This window comes from Homo sapiens, chromosome 1 (assembly GCF_000001405.40).
Source record: "Homo sapiens chromosome 1, GRCh38.p14 Primary Assembly".
Taxonomy (NCBI): domain Eukaryota; kingdom Metazoa; phylum Chordata; class Mammalia; order Primates; family Hominidae; genus Homo; species Homo sapiens.
The window spans coordinates 200,547,778-200,572,468 of record NC_000001.11 but is presented as its reverse complement, the minus strand read 5'-3'; the positions used below and the strand labels follow the sequence as shown (position 1 = coordinate 200,572,468).

Here is a 24,691-nt window from a genome sequence, read left to right as displayed (position 1 = left end):
GGAGGCTGAGGCAGGAGAATGGTATGAACCCAGGAGGCAGAGCTTGCAGTGAGCCAAGATCGCGCCACTGCACTCCAGCCTGGGCGATAGAGCGAGCCTCCGTCTCTTAAAAAAAAAGACTTTTAGCCTCCTAGATGTTGGTAATTTACATCTTATTTTCTGTTGACTTTTAAGTTAATAATTAGGGAATCAGCAGAAATTTAAAATGTTACCAAAAATCAAAACATCTCAATGTTTTCTAAGATTTCGAAATTGGATATTTTCATTTCACAGAGATTTTTGGGTACTTCTATAATTTAAAAGTATCATATTTTTAAAAAATGAATTGCTCTTAGTCTGAGACCTTGTATACGAAGTTTCAGCCTTGTAACAATGTTTATGACAGAATTCCAAACTCTGAGAATGCCTGCAGGTAATGGAAACACTGACAGATTCTTAATTATAGAACTTCTACTGGGCAATGATATGCCACAGTCGTTCTGCAATAAAATAGACTGGTTTGGCTGCCTTTAAATTTTGATACATACTGTTGACAATTAAAAGTAAATTTCCCTCTGAGGTTAAGTAAAAACTCTTTGAAAGGAATATGACAAGCATTTTACTTGGGTTTAAACGTTGTTTAACTATGATATTGTTGCAAGAATAACTGTTTTCCTAGTTTAGACTTGCTGTAATAATATACTTTTTTTCACCCCTAAGTAGAAGAACTGTAATATTTGAGAATTGATATTTCCTTTCCCTTTTATCAGTCCTATTTCTGTGTTTTTCTTGTAGGAGTTCATGGGGGAAATTTTATATTTGAAACATCTAGGCTACTAGTGATAGAATGCTTTGGCTTAATAATCTTTTCGACAAATAGTATTTTTCTTTGAGTGGCCAACTGTAATAGAGAGTTCTGTTAGGAAAAATACTTCAAAGGATCCACTAAATTTAGATCTAGATCACTGCTCTGTTAGTTTCATTGACATAGGAATTGGAGTTTGGGTTTAGAAAATTTATAGATGAACGGCAATATGGAGATAGGCTGCTTTCTCCAGTAGCAGAAAGGGTAGCCTCCATTTTTAAGAAGCAAACAGAAAGAAAGAAAATAACAGCTTAGGCAGCCAAGCAAACTCAAAGCAGAAATTGGGGCTTTTTTTTTTTTTTTTCTTTTTGAGATGGAGTCTTGCTCTGTCGCCCAGGCTGGAGTGCAGTGGCATGATCTCCGCTCATTATAAGCTCCCCCTCCCAGGTTTACGCCATTCTTCTGCCTCAGCCTCCCGAGTAGCTGGGACTACAGACAGCTGCCACCACGCCCGGCTAGAAATTGGGGCATTTTTATAGGCTGAGGAAAAAGAGGTCAGCAAAAAGAGCAATTGGAGATAGAAACATTTCTTCCATTTGTACCACTGCTGCACTTCACAGGTATTATGCTTTGTACACAGTGTAGCAGATACCTACTTAAATGTTTATTTACCTAAATCACTTCCCTGTTTAAAATCTTTCCTTGAAACATTGAGTACACATGGACACAAAGAAGTGAATAATAGACACTGGGGCCTATTTGAGGATGGTGGGTGGGAGGAAGGTGAGGATTGAAAAACTCTTTAATACCATCAGGTATTATGCCTGTTACCTGTGTGACAAAATTATCTGTAGACCAAACCCCCACAGCATGAAATTTACCCATGTAACAAACCTGCACATGTACCCCTTGAACCTAAAATCAAAGTTGAAAGAAAATAAATAAATCCCAACTCGGCCACTTAAAAAAATAAGATAAAATCCTTCCCTGGATAATTTGCTCAGGATAAAATCTAAGCTTTATTGACATGCAAAGACCACCTCAAGCTGGCCCCTGTGCACCTCCCAGCTTAATCCCTTGCTACTCTCTCTCTTACATCATAGGCCACAGTCCTTCTGAACCTCGTTTGGTTCTTCGCATGTACACTACTTTCATTTATCAGGTCTTCCTGTTGCTTGTGTCTGAGACACTATTCCCTGCTTCCCAAGCCTGCCCTCTGTTTGGCTAAGTTTTACTTATCCTTGAGGGTTACTGCTCCAAGGAGGCCCCCCTGACTTCTTGGGCCAGGTCAAGTTCTTTTATACAATCTACCACAACACTCTATGCCTTCATCACATTCATCACTTTACTGTAATTATTTGCCTAATTTATCTCTTTTGTTCTGGACTTTAAGCCTAGTGAGCCCAGAAACCATGTTTGCCACATTTTACCACAATATCCAGAGCCTGCAAATAGTAGTGCTTAATCAATACTTATTTAATTAACTATCTGCCTAGAACAGTGCCTGTAAATAGTAAAATTCTTGCTCAATTAACCAAATGAATTTTTCCTTTGATGAAAATTTTTAATGAAAAACACACACATGAATGTCCATTTTCTTTAGAGAACTTATAAATATTCTTAATAATATTATTCCATGTGGTATAGAACTGCTAATCTTATGGTTTGTCTTTTTTCAGGAGTAGGAGTTTGATGAAGAACAGAAGAATTTCTGGTTGTTTACATGACATACAAGTCCATCCAATTAAGAATTTGCATTCTTCACATTCATCAGGTATTTTTTTCTTCACATTTTCTCTATGGCGAGAAAAGCATTGAGTCCTGGTTCTACCATTACATTTTTTCTTATCCGTGTGCAAATCATTTCATTTCCTGGAAGCTTCTGATTCCTCTGTAAAATGAGGAGGTTGGATCAATGACCCCTTCCGCTTCAAAAATTCTGTGCTCTGTGATTTATTTCAAAGCCTTTTAGTAGAGTAACTAATTCAAATGTGGAAGATGTGTATGTTCCAAAATGTATGAGAATATTACTTCCTTACAAGTGAAAGGAAGCAAAGTGCAGTGGATTATGTATTTTATTCTGTCATTTGTGTGAGGAGGAGAAAAAAGAAGATGTGGACATAGATGCTTGTAAATGAATAAGATCTCTCTGGAGAACTACACCGAAACCCCAAAGTGCTGGTTGTACATGGGAGCTTGGGGATGGAGACAGGACAGGAAGGAAGGCACCCTTTTCACTGCATCCCCTTTGGTTTCTTCTGAATTTTGCATAATGATCTGTGTATCATCTATCCCAAAATTATTTCAATTTTTTTAAAAAAGGAATTATTCCTCTGAATAATTATTTTTTACCAATATTTATTATAATGTTATTTTAAAATGTAGGAGGAGAGGATACACTGTAAATTTTATATGTGTAACTACCTGTAATAATTACAATTTAAGAATTACTGCCTGCTAGGCTGGGCACAGTAGCTCACGTCTGTAATCCTAGCACTTTGGGAGGCTGAGGTGGGTGAATCACCTGAGGTCGGGAGTTCAAGACCAGCCTGAACAACATGGAGAAACCCTGTCTCTACTAAAAATACAAAATTAGCTGGGTGTGGTGGCGCATGCCTGTCATCCCAGCTACTCGAGAGGCTGAGGCGGGAGAATCGCTTGAACCTGGGAGGCAGAGGTTGTGGTGAGCTGAGATAGCACCATTGCACTCCAACCTGGGCAACAAGAGTGAAACTCCATCTCAAAAAAAAAAAAAAAAAAAAATTACTACCTGCTAACAATAGACTACTATGCAGCAATAAAAAAGAAGGAATGACTGATTCACACAATAACCTGGATGAATTCCAGAAACATAATGTTGAGTGAAAGAAGCCAGATCCAAAAGAGTATATATACTACATGATTCCTTTTATATGAAGTTTAAGGACAGGCAAACTAAACTATGGTGACAAAAGCCAGAGTAGGTTAGAACTGAATAGTGGTTACCTCTGTTGGGAGTTAGTAACCGGGAAGAGGAAACCTGTTGGGATGGGATGGTGGAAATTTTGTATACATTGAGCTAAGTGGGGTTTACAGATTTACACATATATAAATCAGCTGTACACTTAAGATATATGCACTTTACAGTACACATATTATACTTAGTAAACAAAAATTTTAAAATAATTATGTAACAATCTATTTGATAAAAGTTCTAATGGAATATGAGTAGCCATAAAAGGTATTATATCTCATCTTGACTTTAAATTTTAGAAATTAGGGTTTCTTTTAGGAAGATAATTATGATCCTACTACTTATTTAATCTAAGGTAGATTAAAATATGCTGTGGGTTTTTTATTTATCAGCAAAATAAAAAGATATGTATCTGTGGTAGCAACTTATTTATTCGGTATTATCTGAGTAAGATATTTTACAAAAATAATTTTAAGGGAAGTCAGAGATAGAAAAGGTCTTTGCTTATTTGTGGTTTTCAAAGACAGTAATGGAAACCCACGTGTGAACTTAGTAGGACCCCGTCTGGGCAGCTGTGAGTGGTGGAAGGGGGACCAGGCCTGGGGGTGAGGGGCTGTACCCCAGTGTCTAGCACTTTCTAGCTTTGGGAAGTTGAGCAAGTATCTTAACTTCTAAAATTCAGGGCCATATATTTTACTGTATTTTTGCAGGTCTTTCTAAAATGTTTCTGTTGGATTTTAGAATGCATTAATACAATTATCTTCTTAAATAGAGAATATATAGTTAACTCTTCTCGATGACTCTACTATAGTCATTATCATCATAATGATATTGAGTCATCGTTACCCTACTGTAGCTTTGGGTTTTGTAGCTTTTTTTTTTTCTCTTTACAAACCAAACTCTTACCTTTGTTCTAGTTTTTTAATATTCCTCATCCTATGCCTTTATTCTACCTCCTTTTAGTTTGCTGCTTTTAAGCACCTATGAAGTAGACCAGAAAACTTAATCTTGTCTATTAAATAAGAATAATTATACTCAATATATTAGGACTCCAGGATAAAGTTATTTCCAGAGGCTCTGAATGAGTCAAGCTTCTCATTTATTTCTGGTTTAGACAGTGCTTAGAAAATCCATCCCTCACAGATGTGCTGTATTAACTGTAGATAATCAGTTGGTTTTAGCCTTTTTTTTTTTTTTTTAGACGGAGTCTCGCTCTGTCTCCCAGGCTGGAGTGCAGTGGCGCAATCTCAGCTGCGCCTCCCGGGTTCACGCCATTCTCCTGCCTCAACCTCCCGAGTAGCTGGGGCTACAGGCGCCTGCCACCAGGCCCGGCTAATTTTTTAAAAATATTTTTAGTAGAGACGGGGTTTCACTGTGTTAGCCAGGATGGTCTCGATCTCCTGACCTCGTGATCCACCTGCCTCAGCCTCCCAAAATGCTGGGATTATAGGCGTGAGCCACCGTGCCCGGCCGGTTTTAGCCTATCTTGATTGTAGTATACCTCAAGGAGAAACTATTGTAAGGTAGAAGTACTGAGACATTATGGTTTTTTTTTTTTTGAGGACAGAGTTTCGCTCTTTTTGCCCAGGCTGGAGTGCAATGGCGCGATCTCGGCTCACTGCAACCTCCTCCCAGGTTCAAGTGATTCTCCTGCCTCAGCGTCCCAGGTAGCTGGAATTACAGGCGCCCACCACCATGCCTGGCTGATTTTTCATTTTTAGTAGAGACGGGGTTTCACCGTGTTGGCCAGGCTGGTCTTGAACTCCTGGCCTCAGGTGATCCACCCACCTTGGCCTCCCAAAGTGCTGGGATTACAGGCATGAGCCACTGTGCCCGGCTGAGACACTACTTTTAATGTAGTTTATCATTGCCTACTTTTCCAGTTTATGAATCCAATTATACTTCTAATTTTATGTAACTGTCATTGTTTTCATCAATTACAGTTCTTTAGGGAAAATTAATCCCACCAGACATAGTGGTACATGCTTGTTGTCCCACCTACTGTGGACGCTGAGGCCAAGGGATTGCTTGAGCCCAGGAGTTTGAGGCTCAGTGTGCTATGATCACGCTTGTGAGTAACCACTGCATTCCAGCCTGGGCAACAGAGCAAGACCCTGTCTGTCTCTCTTTTTTTTTTTTGAGACAGAGTCTTGTTCTGTTGCCCAGGCTGGAGTGCAGTGGTGCCATATCGGCTCACTGTAACCTCCGCCTCCTGGCTTCAAGCAATTCTCCTGCCTCAGCCTCCCGGGTAGCTGGAACTACAGGCGTGTGCCACCACGCCCAGCTAATTTTTTTGTATTTTTAATAGAGATGGGGTTTCACCACGTTAGCCAGGATGGTCCCGATCTCCTGACCTCGTGATCTGCCTGCCTCGGCCTCCCAAAGTGCTGGGATTACAGGCATGAGCCACCGTGCCTGGCCCAACCCTGTCTCTTAAAAAAAAAAAAAGAAAGAAAGAAAAGAAAATTAATTCCTACCATAGAGTAAAGAAAGAGATTAACCCAGTGGTTACGTGGGATATTTGGATTCTCTATTGTCTCATAGTATAGTCAGGGAGCTACTAAATCTATGGATTGATGCGGTTGAGAGGTTAATTGATCCGTGAATGGAATTGTGTTTTCACTTTAGCATATAGAAATGAGGCTGAATTGAAATAAGTATAGCCTACTTTGAATTTATTGATCAGTGATCCTATAATATGCTTGCAATAAAACATTTGTTTGAAAGTATTATGCCTGAACATTTTTGGAAGAGCAATAGTATACGAGTAATATTTGCAAGCAGCAGAGGGGTAGTTTCTGCAGAATTAGCATTATGGAGCACCCTGGAAATCAACATACACAAGTATAGCATGGAAGATATACTTACAAGTACAACATAGCATACGATGTTATATATACTAATAGTTTTGTTTTTCTAATTCCACAGTGAACACAAAAATGCTTTGTTGTTGTAATACATTTCAGTAATGCAGAAGTACATAAAGTAAGGATCCCTTTTTTTAAAAAAGAAAGTATTATTCCTGAAAACAAGCTTAAAATGGCTATTTTCTGTTGATGTAGGTTTAATGGACAAATCAAGCACTATTTACTCAAATTCAGCAGAGTCCTTTCTTCCTGGAATTTGCAAAGAATTGATTGGTTCTTCGTTAGATTTTTTTGGACAGAGTTATGATGAAGAAAGAACTATAGCAGACAGCCTAATTAATAGTTTTCTTAAAATTTATAATGGGCTATTTGCCATTTCCAAGGCTCATGAAGAACAAGATGAAGAAAGTCAAGATAACTGTAAGCAATCTCACTGCTTTTGTTAACTCACATAAATGATTATTTTCTGCACATTGCACTTTGTTTTGAGTGATTATTTGGCACATCTGGCATGCATCTTTTAACTGTGTTAAATGTTTTAATGATGATCATATATGAGTTCTTTTATTTGGATAATATTTCATTCAGTAATTTTTCTTCTTCTTTCAAAGTGTTTTCTTCTGATCGAGCAATCCAGTCACTTACTATTCAGACTGCATGTGCTTTTGAGCAGCTAGTAGTGCTAATGAAACACTGGCTGAGTGATTTACTGCCTTGTACCAACATAGCAAGACTTGAGGATGAGTTGAGACAAGAAGTTAAAAAACTGGGAGGCTACTTACAGTTATTTTTGCAGGTAAATTGATTTGCTTATTATCATTTGAAGGATTCATTTAATAATTATTTATTGGCTTTCTACTGTCTATATCTTCCCCAAAATTAGCTCTGTATGATTTTCAAAAGTACATTCTGTTTTGAAGTTCTGAGACTGTGGTTGTCTGTAATTGATTTGTTAAACAAAGACTTACATGGCTCTCTATGTATGAGTAGTTCTAAGTGATTTACAAATATTAACTCATTTAATCCTTATAACAACCCCAGCAGTGGGCACTGTTGTTATCACCATCTTGTAGATGAGGAAATGGAGGCACAGGGAAAATAAATATACCATCCAATGTTACCTAACTAGTAAATGACTGAGTTGGATTTGGACCCAGGCAGTCTTGGGCCCAGTTCATGCTCTGCCATTATACCATGCTGGCCCTCAATAAGGGATACTGGGAAGAGAGACAGAGTCTTTCTCTGGGTATGGGATTGGATTTCAACTCAGACTGAATTGGCCACAATTCTGCTGACATAGAGACAAGGAAATAATTTTGTTTTCCTGCTTATCTTGTATCAGATAAGATTAGGTTTGGCTGTAAGAAGAAGTAAGATGAAAGCTTATTCTCTCTCACATAAAATCTAGATGTAGACACAGTGGCTCTGATCCACAGAGTCCTCAGGATCCAGGCTCCTCCCATTGGTCCCATCCGCCATGCCCAAAGTGTAGCCCCTGATTTCATGACCCACTATGGAGGAGCCCCATCTGAGCTCAGCACAGCAGGGTGGAAGGAGTGGTGAGAAGGATAGGGCAAAGTTTGCCTTTTTTTTTTTTTTTTTTTGAGCTGGAGTCTCACTCTTGTCACCCAGGTTGGAGTGCAGTGGCGTGATCTTGGCTCACTGCCCCTCTGCTCCTGGGTTCAAGCGATTCTCCTGCCTCAGCCTCTCGAGTAGCTAGGATTACAGGCACTCACCACCATGCTCGGCTAATTTTTGTATTTTTAGTAGAGATGGGGTTTCACCATGTTGGCCAGGCTAGTCTCGAACTCCTGACCTCAGGTGATCCGCCCCCCTCAGCTTCCCAAAGTGCTGGGATTACAGGCATGAGCCACTGCGCCCGGCTGAAGTTTGCCTTCTTTTAAGGGAGGTTTCTGGAAATCACCATATGCCACATCTATTTATATATCTGGCTAGAATTTTATCATTTGACTACATCTAGCTGCAAGTATCATGAGGAAATGTATTTTTTAAAAAAATTCTGGACACCTATGTGCCAAGCCAGAAATCAAGGGATCTGTGGAAGAAGTGGAAAATTGATATTGGAGAATACTTAGTCATCTACCATATTAACAAATTCCTTCTTAAAAATTCCTTGATATGCAAAAGGAGCAGATAAGAAATTAATGGCCGAGTACAGTGGCTCATGCCTATAATACTAGGACTTTGGGAGGCTGAGGCAGGAGGATCAGTTAAGCCTGGGACTTTGAGACCAGCCTGGGCAACATAGTGAATAATAACAAATATCCAACTTGTTAGATACTTTGTCTCTAAAAACATAAAAAAAATCAGCCAGCTGATTTTTTGGTGGCATGTACCTGTGGTCCCAGCTACTTGGGAGGCTGAGGTGGGAGGATTGCTTGAGCCCAGGAGTTCGAAGCTACAGTGAGCCATGATTGCACCACTGCATTCCAGCCTGGATGACAGAGTGAGACCATGTCTCAATAATAATAACAAAAAGTAAACTATTTAAAAAAAGAAAATACTAAGAGGGTTAGATTTCACTTTTAAAAAAGGATAATTAGACCATGTAATAAAATGTTATAGAACAATTGAACAAATTTTATGTTATAGTGCCCACCGAAAGACTTTCCACATTCTATTATTGCAGTAGAATTTTTGTTGTGTCAAATACTTCCTGAATGGGCTATTTACTAGCTGGGATTTGGAAATCTTTAACTGATCTAACTAGTAAACTTGAAATCAGATGATTGTTTTTAATGTCCGTTGTTCTCCCTCAGGAGGATTTTCTAGGTCTCCCCAAGACTTGGTTAGGCACCTGTCTTATTTGCTTCTCTGATAACCCTAAACTTCACCCGTTATGACTTTTAATATAACATACTATTTATAAGCCTGTACATCTCAATGGACAGTTAGCTCTAAGAAGGTAGAGGACAGTGGGTGTCTTTTTTCACAAGGCACCATTATGTGATAGATGTTTGGTTGGATACTTGTTATTGAATTAATTATAAATTCATATGGGATGAAGGATGACTTTGGATATAGGTAATGAGGAAATAGGATGACTAAAACAAGGGGTGGCGGGGTGGGTGGACTGCAAACAGGTGTGGATGAAATAGTAGATGAAGGAGAATTTCTGACAGCATAGAATCATGAAAATGAAAGGTAGGATTGGCCAGAGAGCAAAGCTAGAGAGCCAGAAGCGAAGGGTCTGACTTAAGTTTGAGCCTAGAAAAGGAAGCTTGTTGAAGGATGGTCAGTGCTTAGTTGGCTCTCAGATTTTAGAGGCAGTACTAGAATAGTGGGAGAACACACACAAAACAAAAACTCACTACTGGCACTTGAAAAACTGATGTTTGAACCCATGCTAAATTAGTTGTGCGTCCTTGGGCAAACTGCTTAAATTTTTGAGTCTCCTGTTTCTCACAGGAAAATAAAGCTGGAAATGCCTACTGGGCAGGATTGCTGTGAGGATCAGATGAATTAATGTTATAAGAATGTCTCTCTTAGAGTAACTGGTGTGTAGTTTCTTTCCTTCTTTTCATTTTCTGAGAAGAACACTTTGAACTGAACTTGTGGGTTTCAACTCATAGCCCTGTGGGAAATCTTATACAAGGAATCAAGGATGGAGAGACCAGGCGACTTGGAGGGGAAGTTAGATTAAGCTCAGGACAGACTTGTGTTAAGCTAGCAAACCTGAATTTAGTGACTACACTTTCTACTAAGTATGGTTTGAGAATCCTTTTCTTGTAGCAATACAATTAGCATATTCCCCAAAGCAGGCCAGGAGAAATATTTTGAAGAGACACTACAGGGGGCAGGTAACAGAAAGAAGAAAAGCTCAAGAGAAGCTTCCTCATTCCTTTTTTATATGTGTACTCTGAGTGCATGTGGGAAGTCTTTTGTTTGAAGGTGTTTGGGGTTTTTTCCATCCCTTTTGCTTCCCCTTCCTCTCCCTCTCGATTTCTTTTTCCTTGAGAAAATCATATCTTTATTAACTGTCAGATGGTTATCAGAACAGGAAAAGTTCAGATGCAAAAGAGCCACCCTTCTTTTTCTTTCTTTTGGCTTTTACTTATTAATTCTGTCTTATATGTAGTTAATTTTGTACTTACTTATGTCTCCTATTAGTGTGTAAGGTCTTTGAGGGTGGAGACTATATCTTACTCATTTTATCACCTTTAGCAGCCACAGATGTTTTCTGGTTCTGACTGAGACATTTATGAAGTGAGATCACTATATCAATAAATGCAGAATTTATTTTCTCCAGATGATTTTTCTTTTCTTTTTTTTTTTTTTCTTCTCTTTTCTTTTGAAAATCAGTGAGACAGAGTCTCTCGCTCTGTCACCCAGGCTGGAGTGCAGTGGTGCGATCTCGGCTCACTGCAATCTCCACCTCCCAGGTTCAAGTGATTCTCCTGCCTCAGCCTCCTGAGCAGCTGGGACTACAGGCGCCCGCCACCACGCCTGGCTAATTTTTGTGTTTTTAGTAGAGATGGGGTTTCACCATATTGACCAGGCTGGCCTCAAACTCCTGACCTTGTGATCTGCCTGCCTCGGCCTCCGAAAGTGCTGAGATTACAGGCATGAGCCACCGTGTCCGGGACATTTTTCTTTTTCTTTTTTTTTTTTTTTAAGATGGAGTCTTACTCTGTCACCCCGGCTGGAGTGCAGTAGCACGATCTCAGCTCACTGCAACCTCTGCCTCCTGGGTTCAAGCAATTCTCATGCTTCAGCCTACTGAGTAGCTAGGATATAGGCGTGTGCCACTATGCCTGACTAATTTTTGTATTTTTAGTAGAGATAGGGTTTTACCATGTTGGCCAGGCTGATCTTGAACTCCTGACCTCAGGCGATCCACCCGCCTCGGCCTCCCAAACTGCTGGAATTACAGGCGTGAGCCGCTGTGCCCGGCCCTTATCTTTTCTTTACCACCTGTTATAATCTCATGTATCTGATACACTTGTCCATTTTTATCTTACAGGGATGCTGTTTGGATATTTCATCAATGATAAAAGAGGCTCAAAAGAATGCAATCCAAATTGTACAACAAGCTGTAAAGTATGTGGGGCAGTTAGCAGTTCTGAAAGGGAGCAAGCTACATTTTCTAGAAAACGGTAACAATAAAGCTGCCAGTGTCCAGGTAATTTAGCAATGTTAGTTCAGACAGACTTCATCTGAGGGAACATTAGACTTTTGATAATAGTACAGTACTAAACATGGCAAGTTCTTTTTAAGTTTTCAAAATAGCTTGTACTTTTAGTAGTTTTGCAATAAGATTTAAAACTGTTTGGGCCGGGTGTGGTGGCTTATGCCTGTAATCCCAGCACTTTGGGAGGCCGAGGCAGGTGGATCACTTGAGGTCAGGAGTTCGAGATCAGCCTGGCCAATAGGCGAAACACCCGTCTCTACTGAAAATACAAAAGTTAGCCAGTCATGGTGGCCCACGCCTGTAATCCCAGCTACTCAGGAGGCTGAGGCAGGAGAATCACTTGAACCCAGGAGACAGAGGTTGCGTTGAGCTGAGATTGCGCCAGTGCACTCCAGCCTGGGTGACAGAGTAAGGCTCCATCTCAAAAAAAACCCAACAAAACCAAACAACCAAAAAACTTTTAAATATATTGGATTATTTTGCAAACCTTATTTTACCTTTCAGATCCTTAATTTGATGCTAGTCATCCACCGTGGAGGGTTTTCTCAGCCAATCAACACATGAAAAAACGTTGTAATACCAGATAATTTGTATCTGCTTGCTTTCACTAGTTATGCTATTGAAAACATTGTATTATATTAGAATGTTGCTGTGTTCTGGCTGGGGGCGGTGGCTCACACCTGTAATCCCAACACTTTGGGAGGCCAAGGCTGGTGGATCACCTGAGGTCAGCAGTTCAAGACCAGCTTGGCCAACATGGCGAAACCCCGTCTCTACTAAAGATATAAAAATTAGCTGAGTGTGGTGGCAGGTGCCTGTAATCCCAGCTACTCAGGAGGCTGAGATAGGAGAATAACTTGAACCAGGAAGGTGGAGGTTGCAGTGAGCCAAGATCGTGCTATTTCACTCCAGCCTGGGCAACATGAGCGAAACTCCATTTCAAAAAAAAAAAAAAGAATGTTACTGTGTTCTAGCAATATAGAGCCCTGCTTAAAAGATGATAAACATTCTTTGCAATATGTTATATATGGGATACTAAATTACAGATTTGCTAATTTTATTTCTTTACAGACCACAGACTGTTAGTTCTTATTCTAGCTTTAGTTGAACTTAATAAACTTGGGATGTATTATAGTCCTAAAGTAAGCAGAAAATATAACTTAATTACTTGATAATTTAAAATATATAAAACCTAAATTTAAATAAATTAAAATACATAAAACCTAAATTTTCTAGTTAATGCTTAAATTCTTTTTCTAGGAGGAATTCATGGATGCTGTTTGTGATGGTGTAGGCTTAGGAATGAAGATTTTATTAGATTCTGGACTGGAAAAAGCAAAAGAACTTCAGCATGAACTCTTTAGGCAGTGTACAAAAAATGAGGTAAGATGAATAAAAGAATATTCTGTACAGTACTAAATAATATATAAAGTTGATTTTTTCAGTCAACAAATTAGATTTCTATAAATTCATATGTTTTAATTTGTTTCGAGTTATTTTTCACTGAAGAGGCTGACATCATGATCTTATGGTGATATTTTCCCAAGTTATTCTTGAGTCACTGCAGCCTCTATTGTTAATATTTTGCTTGGTCCTGTTGCAGCTATTTTCAAGAATTCAGTCTGTAAACTCCTAAGCAGAGAGTGGAGTGTGGTAGTGACACCTAGTGTTCGCTTTCTGGTTGTCATTTTCTTCCTTAGCTTTGTTTAGTCTTCTCCTCTTCTAAGAATGGAAACTATTAGTAACATTTATTGATTCAGTATCTTGAACTAAATATTTTTCTGGGGCATTCACATAAGATATTTCATATCAAGATACAGAACCAATAAGCATTTCAGTGATTTCCTAAAATATGTGTCCTCCCATCCTCCAGCTAACATTACTTAGTACCTTAGGAAAGATCTGGGTTTTAATATTAGAAGACATGTATTTGAAACCTGGTTCTATCACTTTCCACTTATCATTTAGCAAGTCACTTAATGCTCTGACCCTGTCATGTAAGCATACCTACATCACAGGCTGTAAACTATTTACTGATTAATTTCCTCTGACAGTTACTGGACTAGGTGCTTTACATGTAACAGTGGTAAATCTTAGCCATTTCTATAATGGGTTTGTACTTTGTCAGTAAGAAAAAGCCCTATGAATATCATATTTCATATTCATATCATTTTTCAAGGTAGGAATTTATATTCTTCATTTCATTGAATTAGAGTATTTTGCCTAATTACCCAACTATTAAGCCCTGAGCCAGGATTTTATATTCTGCCTGACTCCAAAACTCAACATGCTACATAAATAAGTTTTTAAAACTATTGTTCATGCATTAATTTTCTTTATTGACAATTACTGTTAGTGAAGTGGGGATTAGGAAGATACAAATTCAAATTCTTATGAGACTGAATTTCAGAGACTTGTCTGTTTTAGAGTCTTGTAACAACATATTAAAACCATCCTTGGCCAGGGATGGTAGCTCATGCCTGTAATCCCAGCACTTTGGAAGGCCAAGGCAGGAAGACAGCTTGAGCCCAGAATATGAAACCAGCCTGGGAATCATAGTGAGACCTTGTCTCTACAAAAAATACAGAAATTAGCCAGACATGGTGGCATGCATCTGTAGTACCAGCTACTCCGGAGGCTGAGGCAGGAGTATCACTTGAGCCCAGGAGTTTGAGTCTGCAGTGAGCTGTGATTGCACCACTGCATATCAGCCTGGGCGACAGAGCAAGACCTTGTCTCAAACAAACAAACAAAAACCACCCCTGTCCATTCCATTGCTCTTGTTGGAGTCAGGTGGCTGGGGCAGTGCTACCTGGGGACATTTAGGTTCCTGAGATCTTAGCTACTAGGATGTCTCCTCATTTATGTATATACTGATTGATCTAGAAAAGTAGATCATGTGGAGGACTATTGGCTTCTGTCCCTCTGGGTGGTTGTTTCTGGGAAGGCATGGAATAAGTTAGTTTTTTTGTTGTTGTTGTTTAGAAAAACTTTGGTATTAATGTACTTCTAGCTCATCTTAGAATCTGAGGTGAAACTGTGTAAGCCACAGAGATTCTCCATCCCTTTGCTCATACTACAGGGTTATACAGATTTCTCTCTGCCCAGAAAAACTCCATCTCAGAACAGGGGAAAGACATGGAACATTAAGCTGCTCTCCTACTTCCTATGTAGCCTTGAACAACTTACCTGAGCCTCAGTCGTTCCATTTTTAAATGAGGATGATCATACTTATTTCATAAAATTGTTCTGAGGATCATATGAGATGAAGAAACAACGTATACGAAAATGCTAAAAATATAGTGCCTGGCAAATCTTAAGTCATTCATCTTACTTGCACGTGTTCTCTTTTTCTCAACATATGTCTGCCTCTCTCACTTTGTGTTTTTTTGTTTTAAAAAATAAAAACACGGCTGGGCGCGGTGGCTCATGCCTGTCATCCCAGCACTTTGGGAGGCCAAGGTGGGCGGATCACGAGATCAAGAGATCGAGACCATCCTGGCCAACTTGGTGAAACCCCGTGTCTACTAAAAATACAAAAATTAGCTGAGCGTGGTGGTGCACATCTGTAGTCCCAGCTACTCAGGAGGCTGAGGCAGGAGAATCGCTTGAACCTGGGAGGTGGATGTTGCAGTGAGCCAAGATCGTGCCACTGCACTCCAGCCTGGCAACAGAGCAAGACTCTGTCTCAAAAATAAATAAATAAATAAATAAAAAATAAAAGTAAAAACACATTGTTACTAAATTTAGGAGCTCATATTGTCACTAAATCAAGCTTGCGCTCAAATAGGCATGAGGCTGATTTCAGTTCCATAGTGCAACTTTGAAGAAAGGGATATATTGGGCTGTCAAAGGCTCATTCAGACCACCACTGACGTCTCAAATTTGGTTTTGCTCAGCAGCAGCACCATTTATCACTAAAACACTTCACCATATTTGCAAAGTGATACCACTTTTGCAGTCTATCACTATTGCAAAGAATTTCTGCTGGCAATAAGTGCAGAAGGGTATAGAATAAATTAATGAAAAATATAGATGAAATAATATGTGGGAATGTGTTTAGTAAGCTGTTGAAGTAGGTGCAGGTGTTAGCCTTGGTATTGTTTTGAGGAAATAAGCAGCAAAAGGGCCAGGCCCATCCTGTATACAATTGACCCTATCTGCATACCCTCCTTTCTCTCATTTTCTTTCTATAGTATGACAAACCTGTACTTTGTTGTTCATGGTAGGGTTTTAGTTTATCTATTCTTGTAAGTTAAAACTCCTTTAAGAACCTATAGAAGAATAAAATATCCAAAGAAATAGAAAATGAGCTGAAACATAAAAGGCATGGAGCTACAATTTTAAAGCTGGAGTCAGGAAGGAAAAATAATTTGGATATTCTTTTGGAATTTTGTTTTTTTTTAAACCACATAGAGCAAATCTGAATTAGGGCTAGGGAAGCTCTCTGTGAGTAAAGCCAATTAAACACTGAAAAAGAATCCCCTGGCAGAAATTGAGCAGGAAAGCACCTTAGGGGGCAGCATTGGATAGAATAAAAGCAAAGGCTTAGAATTTAGATGTGGGCTCCCACTCTAGTTCTCAGTCTTAGGAGTTAGGAACCAAGGTCTGTTTCCTTACCTATAAAATGAGGTATACAATGGGCAGCATAGGACTATAATGGAGAATCAAATAACAAAACATTTGTAAAGTTTTTAGAGTATAGTATTTGCTTGATATGTTACTTACCCCCTTCCAAGGGAAATTTAGAAATTTTGTATCTATAAATATTTAAGTATAACACAAAATTTGTTATAACAAATATTAGAGGGTGTCCATATTTAATATAGAAATCAATGTGCAATTTATTTTGAAAGAAATTATTAATGAATACAGGTGAATTAGACTGATTATTTTCCCATGTCACAGGTAAATAGAAAATACAGACTAAGTATATGATCAATGTGTTTAAAAGGAGAGTAATTGCTATAGCTTGAAATTTTTTATGTAAATAAAATAAATGAGAGAGATTATAAAGTTGAACTCTTAAAAGTGAAATAAACTTATTTGGAAAGAAGTCAATGTGCAATTTATTTTTGAAGAAATTTCACATGTATGATTTAAGTACTCTCAAGCTATTTAATTGCAATCCCAGAAATAGAGCTCCAATCTTTGGGCTTCTAGACTAGAATTTTTTAAAAGTCTGGTCCCATGCAATTCTATGATTTTTGTACTTCTGAATAATAAAGTATAATAAAATATTTTAACATTCTCTATAGGTTACCAAAGAAATGAAAACTAATGCCATGGGATTGATTAGATCTCTTGAAAACATCTTTGCTGAATCGAAAATTGTAAGAGAAGCTTTAAATTGATTTTAATTTTGCTTATTTTTTATCATTTCACTTGGTTCAAATGTAGATATTTTTATTTCAGTGTTTATCCTTAGCCAGAGACAACTCTTTTGTATATGTCTAATTGTAGCATGTAAGATAGCTCTTTGTCTTTTTTATGTGTGTCATAACTTACTAGTTCTAGTAGTGGATAAAGGATTGTATAGAAATTTATTAATATGTCTGTTTCTTATTGCTACTGGTTTAATAACTGTCAGCTTTTGCTTGGATGGGTCATTATAGGCTAAAAAATTGTGTTTAATAATCATTGTGCTCAAAGATTTTAAAATACAGTTGAATTAGATAGATTATTCCCATGTCACAGGTAAAGAGAAAAATTAAGTATATGATCAATGTGTTAAAAAGGAGAGTAATTGCTATGGCTTGAAAATTTTTATTTAAATAAATGAGAACTATTATAAAGTTGAGCTCTTAAAAATGAAATAAATGTATCTTTTAAAGTATTGAATAATAAATGGCACTGTTACTTTATTCCATTCTCATGTAATAGGATGACAGACTTTGAAAATTAATTGAAAATTCTGATTTCTTTTGAAAACAGTAATTACTATTGTATTTTGGTCTTGCTTATAGAAATAGAGTTAAGCACTGGTGAGGAAATTAAACTCTCTTTCTTAAAGAGAAGATTCTGGCAATTAAAATCATATTGACTGAGCCTTACTGCCATTGAGCCTGTTAATGTATTATTTTAAATATTAACTTTATTTATACAGAAAAGTTTCAGAAGGCAAGTACAAGAAGAAAACTTTGAATACCAAGATTTCAAGAGGATGGTTAATCGTGCTCCAGAATTCTTAAAGTTAAAACATTGCTTAGAGAAAGCTATTGAAATTATTATTTCTGCACTGAAAGGTATGATTCTCCAAATGGAGTTTATAATCAGAATTTTATATTTTAAGGAACCTTAGACATCTTTCCTTTTTTTTTTTGAGATGGAGTCTCGCTCTGTCACTCAGGCTGGAGTGCAGTGGCTCGATTTCAGCTCACTGCAACCTCCGACTCCTGGGTTCAAGCGATTCTCCTGCCTCAGCCTCCCAAGTAGCTGGGATTACAGGCATATGCCACCATGCCTGGATAATTTTTGTATTTTTAGTAGAGATGGGGTTTCACCATGTTGGCCAGGCTGGTCTCGAACTCCTGACCTCAAACAATTCACCCACCTTGGCCTCCCAAAGTGCTGGGATTACAGGCATGAGCCACAGTCCCCGGCTGACATCTTTCCTTTTTATTTCTAACCTTTTCATTATTTTAGTCATTAACTGAAGCCTACCCAATGCTACTTCACTGATATTAGTTACCCATATAGGAACTTGTATTTATAATTAAATTCCCACTTAATGTATGTATCAGTACTTCTACCTAAATAATTAGATCCTGAAAAACCAAGTGCTCATCTAGCAAATAAACACTTTAGTTGACTAATCTTAAGTAGTTTGGAATTGTTTTGATAGGGTCACTTTGACTTAAAAGATATCTAGAGTCTATAAAAGTCATAAATACCTGATGAAAACTGAAAAGGCTAATTAACTTTTCCCTCCTCTCTTGCATATAGGATGCCATAGTGATATAAATCTTCTCCAGACTTGTGTTGAAAGTATTCGCAACTTGGCCAGTGATTTTTACAGTGACTTCAGTGTGCCTTCTACTTCTGTTGGCAGCTATGAGAGTAGAGTAACTCACATTGTCCACCAGGAACTAGAATCTCTAGCTAAGTCTCTCCTCTTTTGTTTTGAATCTGAAGAAAGCCCTGATTTGTTGAAACCCTGGGAAACTTATAATCAAAATACCAAAGAAGAACACCAACAATCTAAATCAAGCGGGATTGACGGCAGTAAGAATAAAGGTGTACCAAAGCGTGTCTATGAGCTCCATGGCTCATCCCCAGCAGTGAGCTCAGAGGAATGCACACCCAGTAGGATTCAGTGGGTGTGAATACTGATGTGTAGGCACTTTTATGACCACCCATGAAAGAAAAAGAACACTTGCTCGGTAATTTTCTTTATGCAGGAGAGTTTAAGAGAAATCAGCACAGATATTTCAAAAAAGTCCATGTCTTTTTATCTTTAAAATATCTATTTATCAAAGGCCAGACACAGTGGCTCACGCCTGTAATCCCAGCACTTTGGGAGGCGGGCAGATCACAAGGTCAGGAGTTTGAGACCGGCCTGGCCAACATGGCGAAACCCCGTCTCTACTAAAAATACAAAAATTTGCTGGGCATGGTGGCGCGTGCCTGTAATCCCAGCTACTAGGGGGGCTGAGGCAGGAGGATCGCTTGAACCTGAGAGGCAGAGGTTGCAGTGAGCCAAGATCATGCCACTTTACTCCAGTCTGAGCAACAGAACGAGACTTAGTCAAAATAAATAAATAAATAAATAAATAAATAAATAAATAAATAAATAAAATATATTTTTATCTTTAAAGTGTTTAACATTGGTATACTGTCTGTAGTTGGTTCATTAGTCGTTTATAAAGGGTTATTTTCTCATGAGTGGAAACCTGAACAATCAGTTACCTTTGTGCCTATGCCTTCTCTCTCCTCAGACAGCTGGGATGTTTATGGTGAAATGGCCTGTACAAGTTTAACTAAGACAACTTAACTTGCATTGTTAATCAAAAATTCTTTTCTCAAAGGGTTAACTGGTTGCCATTTTGAATAGTATGTTCAAGGGTGTAGCTTCCTGTTTCTTTCCAAATTATAAGTAGCTACCTAAATATAGTATAATTATATATTAATAATATGGCTTGCTGGCACAGTAGTTTACCCTGTTATCTGTGTTTCATAATGGGGGCTGTATGAATATTATTTAAAACTAATAAAATGTTGCCAGAATTATACTAAACTGTTGGATGAGATTAGGAGATCAGAGGCTGGACCTTCTCTTGATAATGCTTGTTTTGTTAAAGGTATAATGAAATAATTTGTATATGATTTGATGAAGATTAAAGACCCTTATTTTCCACAGCTTTAAAAAAAAACCTTTATTTATGATCAAGTAATAAAGATAATATTCTACTTGTGGGATCTTACATTACGGAAATAGTTTGACGTTTTTGACCTCAAGAGTATGTATAATTTGAAGAGATACTTTGTAACTATGCTTGGGTGATATTGAGCAGTTCCTAAAGAATAATTCATTTAAAAAAAAAGAAGAAAAAAAAAGAAGAATTCATTTAAATAACCTGATCCTTTCATTTGCCCTTTTCGAATTTACAGATACTACTTGTACATTTGGCATAACTAGTTGAAATTGGCCATTCGTACCATGAATAAATCTGATAGTTTCCTTGTTAGGAAGAGATTGTAAGTAAATACAGTCATTGCAGTCAGAACAGTATTAGTGAACCTTGTGTGGTGTTTTCAAGCTCTTTAAAATGGTACAATGTAGCACATTTGCTTTCATTTCTTTTTTTATTTTTGGCATTTGACCTTGTATTCTTTCTGAAGCTCTATATGTGTTTTTATTAGTCAATAATCTGGCAAGTAGCACTTTGCCTGTGCAGTTTGCTGGAGTGTAGATGTACATATGAGGATTTCCCGGGAGGTGCACTTCTTTGAAGAACTTCCTAAAGTACCTGTATAGTAGTTTTCATCTTAATATTCAGTATTTAATCTTCAGTTTGTGCTTTGTAAACTCATGACTTAATTGGTCAGAAACTTTTTAGTGTCTTTATAAAATTTTGTATACATATTTATACTAAACACATTGTGATACTGTATTTGAATGAATGGTGAAAAAATATTTGCTATTGGAATTATGTGCACTGACAAGAAATGTTATAAAGAGAATGCCTTTAATAAATCTTTTCAGCATTAGAATTGCTTCGTGGTCTATGCTTTTTTATTTTACTGATTTTCTTTGTTTATTTTACTCTTCATTCAGAATAGCTCTGCCTTGATAATAGCTAGGCTAGTGTTGCAAATCAAGTTAATAATTAGGAAACACTAAACAAATATTAATATTGCCATAACAACTATTTTTTTTTAACATTGTTCTGCCTCTCTTTAGTTGATTATGCCTGGAATAGATTTATCACCATGTGGTATGTGTAAAGAGCATGAGCTTTGGAGTTTGACATATTTTTCACACGTTTGGAGTGTGAATCCCAGCTGGACTGCTTAGTAACTACATGACCTTAGACATGTTACTGTCTTCACTCCCATTCCTTCATCTGCAGAAAGAAAAGTAATACCCACCTCATGGACTATCTATCTATGAGCACTTAGTGAGAAAAATGTGGGAATAACTGCTGGCAAGTAGTAGACTGTTAGTGAATTTATTTTCTGTCCTTTTCATTACCAGCTACAAAACCCTTGTTATGTATATAAGATCACACTTGGTGCAGGCATATGCCATTTATAACATTCTGCCAATGTGCCAAATTGTATTGCAGTCCTTTATGGCATACCTGAAAATATATCTGCCGTCATTTTGTTCCATGATAATAAATGGACAATAAAGATAACTAAACATTATCTTACTGCTCTTAAGGTATAATGTGCTATGTGTCCTCCATGGAGTCAGTCCATCTGAAAGTTTTAGCAAAAGGCTGTTTTGTCTAGTTAGCTAACTAGCATACTTGAGTTTACAGAGCCTAACTATGTGCCAATAAGCATTTCAAGGTTTTCCCTAAATATGGAAAGTAAGAATTAATCACAGGTGAGGGGAAAAGGTATCAGTAGTTTGGTTCAGTTAAAAAAAAGCTTATGTGCCCAGCTTCCTGTGCATGATTCATCAGGTAAGTTTGTGCTCTGGATTTTGCAAGTTACAGTCATTGCATGATATAATCAAGACTGAGCTTTTCCATCTTTCTTCCTTTAGCCAATATTAGTTTATGGGATTTTTAGATGTGGAGCATGGCCATTTAGTTTGTTTTAGTATCTGATAGCTAGGTTCATTCATTCATTCTAATAATTATTTACTTAATGCTAGGTATGCTGTTGGTGTTAAGCCATAGCAACCTGAAAAAGATTAGATTGCCTCATGGACTTTTGAAAGGCCCAACTTGTTGGATCCCAGTTGTTCATAACATTATATTTTCTCGATGCCAAAGACCTCTAAACACACTAAACTCAAGTCGGGTGCAGTGGCTTATGCCTGTAATCCCAACACTTTGGGAGGCTGAGGAGGGTGAATCACTTGAGGCCAGGAATTTGAGACCAGCCCGGCCAACGTGGTGAAACCCCAACACTATTAAAAACACAAAAGTTAGCCGGCATGGTGGCGCATGGCACGCCTGTAATCCTAGCTACACAGGAGGCTGAGGCAGGAGAATGGCTTGAACCCAGGAGGTAGAGGTTGCAGTGAGCCTAGATCACGCCACTGTACTCCAGCCTGGGTGATAGAGCGAGACTCTGTCTAAAAAAAACAATAATAAACAGGCATGGCAGTGCATGCCTATAATCCCAGCTATTCGGGAGGCTGAGGCATGAGAATTGCTTGAACCTGGGAGGCAGAGGTTGCAGTGAGCCAAGATTGCGCCACTGCACTCCAGCCTGGGAGACCAAGGGAGACTGTCAAACAAACAAAAAACCAAACAAAAAACACACACTACACTCGAACATACAGGAGAACCACCAGAGAATCGCTGACTTATTCAAGACAGAATTCAGGGGTAAACTTTTGATTAAGCAAATGGCAACTGGAAACTGCATATTTCCTGTTGCTGAATGGTCCTAAACTCAGAGAATCATAGGTTTTTTAAAGAATTTAGCCGAGCACGGTGGCTCACGCCTGTAATCCCAGCGCTTTAGGAGGCCGGGGGTGGGTGGATCACCTGAGGTCAGAAATTCGAGACAAGCCTGACCAACAAGGTGAAACCCCGTCTCTACTAAAAATACAAAAATTAACCAAGCGTGGTGGCACGCGCCTGTAATCCCAGCTACTCAGGAGGCGTAGGCAAGAGAATCGCTTGAACCCGGGAGGCGGAGGTTGCAGTGAGCTGAGATGGCCACATTGCACTCCAGCCTGGGCGACAAGAGTGAAACTCCATCTCAAAAAAAAAAAAAAAAAAAGAATTTAAGAGCGATTTTGTGGTAAGTCACAGGCTTTCGTTTCTCTGGCTAATATTCAGTGAAAACCTCTGAATTTGTCTAAAGAGCGAGCATCTGCCCATTAGGGGGCCTCATTTTCACGAAGAGCAGATTGTGCTGTCCACTAAGAAGATGGAGAATCTCTGAAATTTGGAAAATGGATATCGCTTTCTATGGCCCTACATCCCCCTCTTTTTAAAATGGTGGCTCACGTCTATAACCCCAGCACTTTGGGAGGCTGAGATGGATGGATCACGAGGCTAAGAGATCTAGACCATCCTGGCCAACATGGTGAAACCCTGACTCTACCAAAAAACACAAAAATTAGCTTCGCCTGTAGTCACAGCTACTCGGGAGGCTGAGGCAGGAGAATCACTTGAACCCGGTAGGCAGAGGTTGCAGTGAGCCGAGATTGCACCATGGCACTCCAGCCTGGCGACAGAGCAAGACTCTGTCTCAAAAAAAAAAAAAAATATATATATATATATATATGTGTGTGTGTGTGTGTGTGTGTGTGTGTGTGTGTGTGTTTACGGGCCAAGCACGGTGGCTCACACCTATAATCCCAGCACTTCTGGAGGCCAAGATGGGAGGATCACTTGAGCCCAGGCATTCGAGACCAGCCTGGCCCACATAATGAGACCTGGTCTTTATTTAAAAAACAAACAAAAAAAGAGCAGGCATGATGGCTCATGCCTGTAATCCCAGCACTTTGGGAGGCCGAGGTAGGCAGATCAACTGAGGTCGGGAGTTCAAGACCAGCCTGATCAATATGGTGAAACCCCATCTCTACTAAAAATACAAAATTAGCCGGGCGTGGTGGCACATGCCTGTAATCTCAGCTACTCGGAAGGCTGAGGCAGGAGAATCACTTGAACTTGGGAGGTAGAGGTTGTGGTGAGCCGAGATGGCACCATTGCACTACAGCCTGGGTGACAAGAGCAAAACTCCGTCTCAAAAAAAAAAAAATAAAGCTTTTTCCCCAGTTTTATTGAGGTGTAATTAACAAATAAATTGTGTATATTCAAGGTGTGCAATGTGATGGTTTGATATACAAACACATTGTGAAATCATTACTACAATCAACACATTCATCACCATATCACCATATGTAGTTACTATTTGTGAATGTGCGTGTAGGGGGTAAGGACACCTAAAATTTACTCTTAGCAAATTTCAAGTATACTATACAGCATTATTTTTTTTTTAATTTATTTTTTAGATGGAGCCTCACTCTGTCACCCAGGCTGGAGTGGAGGGGCAGGACCTCGGCTCACTGCAATCTCCACTTCCTGGGTTCAAGTGATTCTCCTGCCTCAGCCTCCTGAGTAGCTGAGATTACAGGTGCCCACCACAATTCCCGGATAATTTTTGTATTTTTTAGTAGAGACAGGGTTTTACCATGTTGATCAGGCTGGTCTCGAACTCCTGACCTCGTGATCCGCCTTCCTCGGCCTCCCAAAGTGCTGGGATTACAGGCATGAGCCACCGCGCCTGGCCTACTATAT

At 38.7% G+C, this 24,691-nt stretch overlaps 1 protein-coding gene across 15 annotated transcripts in view, besides 1 other annotated feature; it reads left to right on the top strand.

The window, feature by feature from the left end:
• KIF14 (kinesin family member 14) overlaps window positions 1-20,972 on the top strand; it is a 69,255-nt gene extending 48,283 nt beyond the window's left edge. For 14 of the 15 annotated variants that reach the window (XM_047436198.1, XM_047436190.1, XM_011510232.3 and 11 more), the window contains 8 exons: window positions 2,464-2,558; window positions 6,800-7,024; window positions 7,216-7,400; window positions 11,589-11,747; window positions 13,017-13,139; window positions 17,015-17,089; window positions 17,863-18,001; window positions 18,702-20,972. In XM_047436198.1, coding sequence (XP_047292154.1) covers window positions 2,464-2,558; window positions 6,800-7,024; window positions 7,216-7,400; window positions 11,589-11,747; window positions 13,017-13,139; window positions 17,015-17,089; window positions 17,863-18,001; window positions 18,702-19,081 — 1,381 coding nt within the window. In that variant the 3' untranslated portion in view covers window positions 19,082-20,972. The remainder of the gene's footprint in view (window positions 1-2,463; window positions 2,559-6,799; window positions 7,025-7,215; window positions 7,401-11,588; window positions 11,748-13,016; window positions 13,140-17,014; window positions 17,090-17,862; window positions 18,002-18,701) is intronic. The other variant, NM_014875.3, reaches the window with a different exon arrangement.
• Window positions 13,445-13,494: a silencer, noted in NCBI's record as "silent region_1673". NCBI's record gives its function as "represses an Ori minimal core promoter by ATAC-STARR-seq in GM12878 lymphoblastoid cells {active_cell/tissue: GM12878}" and the evidence as "EXISTENCE:reporter gene assay evidence [ECO:0000049][PMID:35858748]".